Here is an 11725-nt window from a genome sequence, read left to right on the forward strand (position 1 = left end):
TTGAGATTCATCTTCCAAATCACACCATCAACAGAAATCTGTTATGAAAAAGCAGCACTCTCAATCACTGAAAGAACCTAGGAGCTGCCTAATCTAAACTCTTCTCATCCTACAAATTAGCAGCTGAGGTGAAGCAACTGCTTGCCCATGAGCGAGCTGGGTCTTGAAGCCACCCTCCAGACCTGAGATGCAGCACTCCTGTCACTACCCATGCAGACCAAACTCTATCTTTGGCATTCACTAAAAACAAACAGCAGCATGTTCCCTACGTACATCTGAAAGTGCCAGAACTTCAATACCCAAGGTTGAAATGGTCTTCAAAAATTAAAAGGCTCAGCCAAACCAGCTGAAGCAGCAACACAGAAATTAAGAATCTGTACGTATCTCAAGTCAGTCAGATGATTCCATCACATCCAGAGAAGAATTCAGCTCTAAGGACACTTGTCTTAAATCACTCTTACCATCACCATGGAGGCCAAGAGTCACTAGATAGTCACATTTGAAGAATCTCTTTCTATGCAAATCATAATGGTAATATCTTGTAAAATGAAAACCACAACCTTGGTATTCTTAAATAACAGGCCAGCTTTTCAAAAAACAGATGTATCCTATGTCTCCCCTTTATTATCTTCCCATTGTGAATACTCTAAGCATGTTCTTCTGAAAGTCCCTTGGGAAACTAGACGCTTCCTTTTTTTCAAAGGAGGGAGTTGGTAGGAGCCTGGTCTGTTCTCAACTACCTCCAGGCTCCAGTCAAACTGGGAGAACAGTAAAAGTCCAAAAAGTTACATAAGCAATTGGGAAGCGGGAACACAGGACCACACATAAACTCGTGTATCAATATTCTCAGCAGTATTATTCATAATACCCCCAAAATAGGAACAACTGAAATCAACTGATGATAAATGAAATGTGGTCATATCCACATAATGGGATATGATTGAACCATGAAAAAGAATAAAGTACCGACACATGTTCCAACATGAACCTTGAAAACATTATACTAAATGAATAAAATCAATCACAAAAGGCCAAATATTGTATGATTCCACTCATGAGGTACTTAGAATAAACAAATTCATAGCAACAGAAAAGTAAAATGGTGGTTGCCAGGGGCTGGGTAAAGGAAGAAAAGAGGAGTTATTGTTTAACAGGTATAGAGTTTCAGTTCTGCAAGATTAAAAAAGGCTAAAATGGTAAAGTTTATGTATACTTTACAACAATTAAAAATAAACACATTCTTTTTTTTTAAAGTGGCTACTGGGAAATTTAAGGCAGCAGTATTGATTAGGGAAGGAGACAAAGTCTGCTTATAATTTCAACAGCAGGGTGGTCTGGGTTCAAAATCAGGGGCATTTATCACTGATGGATCTCTTTACCAAAATGTGAATCTTAAGCATTTGTTAATATTACCCAGAAAAGGAGAGAACCTCTAGAACAAACCGTGGATGTAACACAGCATTTTGAAGGTCTATACAAATTTCCAGACCATTTTTGACACTATAATCATTTAATATGAGTGGTAATACATTAATGGAACCTAGGTGGCCCCAAAACCTTTAAGTACTTAAAGAAAAAAAAATGGTAGAGTGTTCACGTTATTGGCAAATCTGCTCCACTCCAAGAGGCCAGGAACAGGATATTATATTACTTTTGGCAATGAAGGCCCTGATTCACTCTGCCTTAACTAATAGATTTAGTACAGCTGGGTTACTTCAGTGAGACGTTCAACTACCTTGTTTTGCAAACTTGAGCATGTGGCAGTAGAGAAAAGATCTTCAGAGAATTCCCATGTGTTAAAATTTCAAATTACCTTCAGTTTCCGCTACAAAAGTAGAAGAACAAGAGGAGAGGTCCTGGGAAAAATGAAATGGAAAGCTTTTGAAAGGTAACAGAATGATGAAAAATTTAATTTTAGCACTTTAAGGAAGTTTTGTTTTCTCTCATGCTGGTGTAGTTCATTTATAGCAAACCAACAATCTAATGGTAAATAAACAGCCTGGTTCATCACATTACCTACCAATTATACAAAAATTATAATCACACTGTGACTTAAAAGTTTTATTTATTTTAAAAGTTCATCACAGGTGATTTCAGAGATTTAGTACAATATCACCTGAAATAGTTAACAGACACGGCTGGCATTTATGTCTACAAATTATTATCATTACATATTATCTTTCAGCACGTTCATTTTCCTGACCTCAATTGATGGACTAAACAGAACTCTTAAAATATGCAGCAGGACAAGGGTGCCATCTCACAGGTGTAGCTCACAGCTCCCAGCACTTTGGAAGGCTGAGGTGGGAGGATTGCTTGAGCCCAAGAGTTCAAGACCAGCCTGAAAAAATACATATATTTAAGTGTATATATATATATATATATATATATGTAAAAAGCCAGGTGTGATGGTGCATGCCTATAGTCCCAGCTACTTGGGAGGCTGAGGTGGGAGAATGGCTTGAGTTGCAGTGAGCTATGATGGTGCCACTATACTCCAGCCTGCGTTACAAAGGGAGACCCTGGAACTTTGGTTTTTTTCCCTGCTGTATCTCTATCATCTATGTCAATGACTAGAACAAAGCAGGCACTCAATAAATTCAGACAGAATGAATGAATCTCTGCCTAGAAAAGGCTTACAGATATGACATCCAATAAATATTTGCAGTAAAAGAGGCGATGTATCAGATGTGTCACAAACTAAATCCTAGGAGGCTTCATGTTTAGTTCATTCTCAGCAGGGAGGGTGGCAACAGCTGCTGAGTTGGGGCCATTAACTTAGGTGAAGAATCTGCATTTACTGCAAAAGACTTCTGGCGCAGTTCCAGAGGCCGGAAAGCAAGGTGTTCTAGGAACTTCTTGCTCAACTCCACTGAGTCAGAATGGTTGCTATGTCAAGCTTCTGAGTAACAAGGAACGACATGATTGGAAAGGCAGGGTGAGGATAGGATGGGGATCTTGAATGTGAAGCTGGAGTCTGCTGCCATGTCTGGTAGGCACCGAGGAGATGCTGCAGGTAACGAAGTACAGAAGGGACATGATTCTAATGGCACTTTAAGAGGATTAATCCAGGCCGGGTGTGGTGGCTCATGCCTGAAATCCCAGCACTTTGGGAGGCCAAGATGGGCAGATCACGAAGTCAGGAGCTCGAGACCAGCCTGGCGAATATGGTGAAACCCCATCTCTACTAAAAATACAAAAATTAGCCGGGCGTGGTGGTGTGCGCCTGTAATCCCAGCTACTCAGGACGCTGAGGCAGAAAAATTGCTTGAATCCGGGAGGCGGAGGTTGCAGTCACTGCACTCCAGCCTGGGCAACAGAGCGAGATTCCACCTCCAAAAAAAAAAAAAAAAAAAAAAGAAAGAAAGAAAGAAAAAGAAAGCAGTGGCTCATGCCTGCAATCCCAGCACTTTGGGAGGCCAAGGCAGACAGATCACTTGAGGTCAGGAGTTTGAGACAAGCCTGACCAACATGGTGAAACCCATCTCTACTAAAAATACAAACATGAGCTCGGTGTGGTGGCCAGCGCCTGTAATCCCAGCTACTCGGGAGGCTGAGGCAGGAGAATTTCTTGCGCCCAGGAGGCAGAGGTTGAGATCGCGCCACTGCACTCCAGCCTGGACTCCATTAAAAAAAAAAAAAAAGCCTGGAGGAAGTCAATTAAGTAAAAGAGTAGATACCAGACCTACCCAACCCTCAGAATTACCTGAGGGACCTTACACCCATGCCACATCTTCTCAATCTAAGAGGTCTGAGAAACCATCACTGCCTTAGGTATGAGATAATAGGATACTGGGGTAAGAGTAAAACGAGGGGAAAAGAAAAGGTTCACAGGTGAAGCTTATAGCCTAAGTCAAAATTTGTGCTAATAATACTATTTTCCTGGACAAAAACTTACCTATCAGCCATATGTAAAAAATTTGTACCTTATAACTTCAAACCTCCTTAACAAGAGGTAGGGTGACATAGCACAGTAAAGCTTTTCTTTGCTAGAAAATAAAGATGCAGTGGTCCACCCTACAGTTAGACAGATCTGTATTTAAATCCTTGCTCTGCCACTTACAAGCTTTGTGATCCTACACATGTTATTTAACCTCTAGAGGTCTGTTTTCTTATGGCATAAGCAGAAGGACACTATCTCATTGTTTTAATGGCAGAAGGATTAAATGAGATGATGCAAGTTAATGCTTAAGTCAGTTACCATTATCACCTTAAACCAGATGAGATACTAAAATAATCACTTTCAAAATTCTGAGTTCACACCAGGGCATAACCTCTCCAAAAAGCTCAAACTATTATGACTGAGAATCAGATGTGGTTGCCATAACAACATCTGTTCCTGTACACATTACAATGCATCATGCACAGTAGTGTTTTTATACAATATTTTACATCTGTGTGAGCCATTCATACTCAGGTTTGCATATTCTTAACAAGCTCAGTGACACTTAAAATATTTAGGCAACTGAACATCTGCAACTATCTTAAATAAACCCAGGTGACTTACAGTTATGTAGAAACATAAAGGTGTCATCTAGATTTTGCGTATCTTAAGTTTTAAAAAATATGTGGAGTCACTGGTCTTTTAGGAAGATTTTCAGACTACAAGACTGGTGCCCACAACTGGAAAACTGCTACTGTGTTGCTGCTTATCCTGATACTTTCCGTATTCAGATTTCAGGCAAGAATTCTAGCAGTGACCACCAGAATTTCCAGTACACCAGTAGAACCAGTTGTTTTCAGGCTGAACTCCTCTAAGAGTTTAAGATATGTATACAAACAGAGGGAAGATGATGCCTGAGGGACAAGGTGAAAGCTGGGCAGCCAGAGGTCTGGCCCCCCGACCCTTCATCAATTTAAGAGTTCACCTAAAATTGTATTTGAAAGCGGGGGAAGATGCCTCGGTACTTAAACAAGAAAAACAGACTGAGGATACTTTATAATATACCAATTTAGATTTAGGGAGAGTGTGAGGTGAGGAGCACTTCCCAGTTTACTTCACTCTAAACAGGTATTGCAGCAAGGCAGGGACACAGCATAAAGAGTGATTCTAGCACTCCACTGCCTACATAAGAACTCCACAGGCATACAGCCACTTGCTGTCGCTGTAAGTGGACAATCTGGCTTAAGATCAATGTGAAAAAGGGAAATAATTCACAAGTAGCCCTTAAGGGGTGCTTTAGGGGAAAACTCTCAAACTTTGTTTTTCCTCTGCCCTCACACCACACAGAAGTCGTGAAGTTGTCTTCTGTGACCAAACGTGTAGGGTTTTTTCCCAAGCAGCGGACACCAGCTGAGTATCCTCTAATTTGGTTCTGACACTGTCTACCTGGATACAGTGTCATATTCCACAAGATGGGGGCTCAGTCCCCAAAACTGCTCTCTCCTTCTTCAGACTCCAACTGTAAGTCTGGGCCTCCAGAACTTCTGACTGACACTTCAAGCTGGGGTTCCCAAGACCCCCTCCTTGAGTTCTATTAATTTGCTGGAGCATCTCACAAAACTTGGGGAAACACTTATGTTTACCGGTTTATTATAAAAAGTACAGATAAAGAAATGCGTAAGGGCACTGGGCTTCCATACCCTCTCTGGGGGCGCCACCCTCCAGGTGTGTTCAACTATCTGGAAGCTCTCTGAACCCAGTCCTCCTGCGTTTTTTTTTTTTTTTTTTAAAGACAGAATCTCACTCTGTCCCCCAGGCTGGAGTGCAGTGGTGCAATCTCGCCTCACTGTAACCTCTGCCTCCCGGGTTTGAGCAATTCTCCAGCCTCAGCCTCCTGAGTAGCTGGGATTATAGGCCCCCACCACTAAACCCAGCTAATTTTTTTTGTATTTTTAGTAGAGATGGGGTTTCACCACGATGGCCAGGCTGGTCTCAAACTCCTAAACTTGTGATTTGCTCGCCCCCAGCCTCCCAAAATGCTGGGATTACAGGCGTGAGCCACCGCGCCTGGCCCTCCTGGGTTTTTATAAAAGCTTCATATAGGAAACCTTACTTCCCTTCCCCGGGGTATAGGGCCAACACCCTCTCTCTAGAGAGGATCTCAAGACCTACAATCAGAAAGCTGGGTAAAGATCAGAATCTTGCCTTGGGACACGTGTAAGGAGAGCAGGAGAAGATCAGAGATTATTTTCTGAGACCTAACGTACCCTATATTATAACAAAACACGGTAATGGGGTTATGGGTGTTATGAGCCAGGAACCGTGGTGGATGAAAACCAGTATGTATCACAACACCACAAGAGGACACGCAGATATGTCCATTTATAAATTATTTCAGAAGCATGCCAAGTCTTTGTATCTAAATGACATAAAACGTTATTTTGATCCCCTAATAATACATTTTTATGCTCTACCGAAACTACTCAGAAATAATTTCCCACAATAGGAAATATATTTCTTTCACTATTCTTGAGTAACAGAATATTTAAACTATGTTCTCAAGTTTTTCGAAGCCATTTCCCAGGATCAAGGCTTCACCGAAGGTAGCTTTTCAAAAGCGTTCTTGTACCAGGTTTTGCCACTTGATGGCTCAAGTTTTCACACTTTCCTCAGAGAAGTTTTATTTGCATTTTTTTTGGTTGCTGTTTTTTATTTTTATTTTTTTTTGAGACTGAGTCTCACTCTGTCACCCAGGCTAGAGTGCAGTGGTGCCATCTTGGCTCACTGCAACCTCCGCCTCCCAGGTTCAAGTGATTCTCCTGCCTCAGCCTCCCAAGTAGCTGAGACTACATGTGAGTGCCACCACACCAGGATAACTTTTGTATTTTTAGTAGAGATGGGGTTTCACCATGTTGGCCAGGCTGGTCTTGAACTCCTGACCTCAGGTGACCCGCCAGCCTTGGCTTCCCAAAGTGCTGGGATTACAGATGTAAGCCACCGCACCCATCCTCTTGTTGCTGTTTTTAAGTGTAACTGATCTTGAAGCAGGATTCTGAGCACTTCTTGCATTTGGATACTCCCAGTCTCAGCTCACTTCTTTCACAAGAGCAAGGATTCTGTCAACCTAAATTTATAATTCGAATTGAAAATTTTAATAAATTCCACCATATTTCCACTAGACAGGAGTTTCTCAAAAGAGACCACTCAAAAGGTTCTCAGGTCATGAGCTTCCACCAGAAGAGCAGAGCTTTACAGATTGTCAACTGAAGCACAGGTTTCCACAAGCTCTTAAATGGAGCATGAAGGATTCAGAAAAAGAAAGGGTAAAAGCCAGCAATTATCTAAGAAAAAAGTAACTGCTCAGGACAGACTGACTGTCTTAAACTAAAAAACTGGGAAAAGAAAAGGGAACATAAACAACGTTTCTTTTTAGATTCTTATACAGTTAACTTCCCAGCAGAAATATGCTACTCCAATTAACTGCCACCTGCACAATTTACACCCATACTCTCCCTGCTGGGGGTGTGGCTAGCTTCTTTACATGTAGACGCCATTGGAATCCTTGGGTTTAAGCTCACATGGAAGCATAAAACCTCACTGTGAAATGGGAAGCATTCATGTGAGCCCCCATTAGCCAAACAGCTTACAAGAGCACCATAAAGGCCTGTGTTGCAAGCACAGGCCTGGGAACCAGCCCAGACATACTCTGTGGCTCATTTCATCATTGTATGTGGTAGTGCCTTGATTTCCCTACTTGTGAAACAAGGATAGTCCTGAGAAAATTGGGAATAGTTTATAAAGTGCTTGGAAAATAAAACAGACAAGCCACCAATACTATAATACCATAAAGGCCAGCAAGGGGGCCTTTACACTTAAGCAGCACATCCTTATTAAAGTCATCACAGTCACATGAGAAGTGACATATAAACACAACCCACAGCTAAGTGACTCAATTACAAATCTATACCCTTACTGAAGAGGGTATTAGGATATGCAGATTCATTTTTAATTCTAACAGCTGGTCAAATAATGCATGACTCTTTTAGATTACGTGTATGCTTTTAAATTAAATCTTTAACTTAAATCTAAAACTGTGGCATATATTCAGAGCAGGCTTCCCTTTGTAAACTCCATCCAACGTTGTCTATGCTTTCCTCTTATTTTCTAAATCTTTATTTCCAGAACACTGCTGAAATTCTTGAGAGGTTCCAGGCTTTCTCTAGCTGCTGTCTTGGAACCAAGGTAGGGATCAATAATACCAAAGCTTGTGAGTGAAATCTCAAGGAACTCCTTAAGGCAGAGGACTGAATTAATACACAGAGATGACAGGACCCAGGACTAAAAACAGTAATATGAATTTTGCATTTTTCATTGATTAGAATAAAAAAACGTGTGCCCTGCAATCAAAACTGTCACTTTCCACAGTTGGCTCAATTTTTATCTGTGACTTCCTATACACACACACACACACACACACACACACTACATAATCAAGTTGGCTCATATATACCAACTTGAGAAGCATGATAATATGTGAGGAGAGCCTTCTCATTCCAGTGAAGCAGAATATGAATTCTCACTTAAGCTGACCCCAAAACTGGCAGATCGCAAAGGTAGGTCATAACATAACGCAGGTGTAGGGAGTACTAAGACACTGAGAGGATGAAGGAACATAATCATCCTCTCCTCACTTTCTAATAAACAGGATCAGACAAACAACAAAAAACCATGAAATCACAATGGCCACCCACAATGGGCAAAGCATGGACGGTTTATCAAATAAAGTATCTCAACAATCAAGGTGGAAAGTGCCAAAGTAAAAACAAGAAACAGCTTTTACATTCAAAGTATCAATTCAGTTAATTAGCATGGGGCTTTGGTTTATACTAGTTTCAAACACCGAGTTTCCAAACTAACAACATAGAAGGTGTTAACTGGCAGTGAGGTACATCAGCAAAATACGGCATTTACTCCAGTTACTATCACAAGCTCTTACAAAACTAGGAGAGGGGCTGGGAGCGGTGGCTCACGCCTATAATCCCAGCACCTGGGGAGGCCAAGGCAGGCGGATCACCTGAGGTCAGCAGTTCAAGACCAGCTTGGCCAACATGGCGAAATCCCATCTCTACTAAAAATACAAAAATTAACCAAGCGTTGTGGCAGGCACCTGTAATCCCAACCACTCAGAGGCTGAGGCAGGAAAATCACTCGAACCCGGGAAGCAGAGGTTGCAGTGAGCCGACATTGGGCCACCGCACCCCAGCCTGGGAGACAGAGCAAGACTGTCTCAAACAAACAAACAAACAACACACAAAAACTAGGGGAGGAAAAACTTTAAGTTTATACGATGCTAATAACAAGTCAAGCTCTGTGAATCCAACTATAATTAAATTATTTACACATAGGGGAGCAATGTTTCTCTTAATGTACATGCCTCTCAGTCAAGAGAATGAAGGTTAAACTCCCACTGAAAGTTATTTTACCTTATGTAAGACATAACTGACTTTATGATGCTCTTTTAAAAACTCCTTTGGAACTCCAGGTTGAACAAGTAGCTTATTTACACAACAGTCATGGGTACTTTGGTGTAAACCACAATAATGCTTCTAATGTTGTAAAATAAAAACTTCCTATTTTTTTCTTTCATATTACTTTAAAAATCTTTATTTCACTAAGATTTAAATAGGTTACTTGGAAAAAATACATACATAAAGTTTAATTCTGGTATTTTTTTACTACACTTAGATGTATTGTCCCCAAACTACATCTCAAAACTAAATGTACTTTCCCCAAACTACACGTGATACTTGAACTTTTCATCTGTATTTAATAATATGACAATCATTTCCAGCTCTAGAAAACCTACATATATTTTATATGTATGTGTACATACATACACACACCCAATTGTGAAATCAAGTGACCTAGGTCTATTGCAATTTATGCAGTTTTGTTACTTATATATGATTCTCAAAAGAAGAAACATAAATGCTGAAGTTTTTCTTTTTTTTACCCTATGAAGTATCAATCTCTACTTTCTCCTTTACAAAACAGCTTTATCTTCCTTATTAAGTTGCAATTTTCAAAATAAAATTTGTAGCCAGCATCATCTTATTTAATCAATAAACTTGAGTATTTTAGTTTTCAAAATACTAACTTTTTAATACTTTCAAAACGTGTAAGTAGTTACAAGGAAAGCAACAACTTCACATAGTATGCCTTATATACCTATACTTTTAATAATCAAATATAAATAATAAGCCATTTTTGCCTGATAAAAGCCTACTGGTTGGTTACTTGCAAGTGGTACCAAAACCATCTGTTCAAGGTTGTGAAGTTCTTATTTTAATATAAATAGTATTAAAACTCTTCCTGCACTCTGGTATAAGGAGAAAAAGATAAACTTAAGCAAAGCAAAGCAAATTCACAGTGGGCATGTATAAAATCAATGACTTCCAAGGTTGGAAGGGCCAAGGGTCATTAAGAGATTTTCAGCCCAATCTCCTATATTTTCTATACAGGAACTATAAAAACCAAAATCAAAGAGGTTAGTTTCAATATATAGCTCCTAATAAGCTAGTCTCAGGAAATTTTTCAACAAAGGCCAAGATAAAAAAGGAATTTCTACTTAAAGTTCAGTTAAACAGAATACCCATTCCCCACACTCTAGTTAATTGAACCTTTTACTATACTTTAATGAAGTATATAGTTTACCTACTATAAATTCCAGTCTTCAAGCCCAATTGTTTCACTTTTTTTTTTTTTTTGGTAGAGACAGGGTCTCATTATGTTGCCCAAGCTGGTCTTGAACTCCTGGCCTCAAGTGATTCTCCTGCCTCAGCCTCCCAAAGTTTTGGGATTACAGGCGTAAGCCACCTCACCTGGCCTCACCTTATTTTTTGAGTGTTAAAACCAAGAAACCTTTGAAACAGTAGAATACATGCTTTCTAAGAGCTCACAGCAAGTTTTCCTTTAAGGGAAAATGGCTGTTACCACTTAGGACATCATTCAACACTGTATCCCATTCGCTAAATCAAACAAAAGCCCCTCAACAAACTTCATTTCAAACATTCCGTCAAATAAGTTGTCTTCAAATTATATGGTCATTTTCAGAACTTAAATAACTGCATATAAAACACCAAATAAAGATAAAAACTATACCTGCCTACAAATACTATACAGTATTTAAAAATTTAAATAATCCCATTTAAATATGTGATTTTTCACAATGACTAAGAAATTGTAGAAGCAATGTCTCTAGTCAAATACCTGTACCAAAGGGCCTCCTTTTCACTCACCAAAATGTTACCTGGTAGCAATTCTCCAATGAAAAATTCTCCTGTTAAGCACCAACTGGTTAACTAGGTATCAAAGAATACACCCATTCAGTTCTCCATAAACTTATCTTGGTGTATTTATGTAACATACAAAGTCTTAAAGGTACCCACAAACATCAACCACTGTCAATCTTTGGTAGCAAGAACAAGTTCATGGAAAACCATGTTTTCATCAGACATTTAAGGCTTTTAGAAGCTTAGCAACTCTAGAGATTGGGTTATCAAAGTAATAGTAACTGAATACTTATACTTTATACAAAGGGGTGTAGAATGCAAATGATTACAATATTAGCATCTGTAAAAATTTCTCTTAAAAAAGCTGTAAGTAATTTCTTATGTTAATAAGTGTTCAGAACCCACTACTGCAACCAGCTCTAACCGGTTCCTTGAGGAATGTGGCTAGGCTGAAATTTTGGAAGTGTTGGTTTTGGTGGTGACCAAGGAGAAGGAAGTCTCTGGCTTCCCTGTTGCTGCAGTTCCCACCCTCCAAAATGAATATACCCAC

General features: G+C 39.7%; 1 protein-coding gene across 11 annotated transcripts in view, besides 2 other annotated features; it reads right to left on the reverse strand.

Annotated features, from left to right (window-relative positions):
- ADNP (activity dependent neuroprotector homeobox) overlaps positions 1–11725 on the reverse strand; it is a 42520-nt gene that overhangs the window by 28008 nt on the left and 2787 nt on the right. For 3 of the 11 annotated variants that reach the window (NM_001439000.1, XM_047440077.1, XM_011528747.3), the window contains one exon: positions 1814–1856. The exons of 7 other annotated variants lie outside the window; for them this stretch is intronic. In NM_001439000.1, the coding sequence (NP_001425929.1) occupies positions 1814–1856 (43 nt within the window). Of the gene's footprint in view, positions 1–1735; positions 2332–11725 lie in introns of those variants that run through there. One more of the 11 variants, XM_011528748.3, reaches the window with a different exon arrangement.
- Positions 8524–9024: an enhancer, noted in NCBI's record as "H3K4me1 hESC enhancer chr20:49541986-49542486 (GRCh37/hg19 assembly coordinates)". NCBI's record gives its function as "activates a minimal SCP1, AML or CMV promoter by ChIP-STARR-seq in primed H9 embryonic stem cells {active_cell/tissue: H9 hESC(primed)}" and the evidence as "EXISTENCE:reporter gene assay evidence [ECO:0000049][PMID:30033119]".
- Positions 9025–9525: an enhancer, noted in NCBI's record as "H3K4me1 hESC enhancer chr20:49542487-49542987 (GRCh37/hg19 assembly coordinates)". NCBI's record gives its function as "activates a minimal SCP1, AML or CMV promoter by ChIP-STARR-seq in primed H9 embryonic stem cells {active_cell/tissue: H9 hESC(primed)}" and the evidence as "EXISTENCE:reporter gene assay evidence [ECO:0000049][PMID:30033119]".

This window comes from Homo sapiens, chromosome 20 (assembly GCF_000001405.40).
Source record: "Homo sapiens chromosome 20, GRCh38.p14 Primary Assembly".
Lineage (NCBI taxonomy): Eukaryota > Metazoa > Chordata > Mammalia > Primates > Hominidae > Homo > Homo sapiens.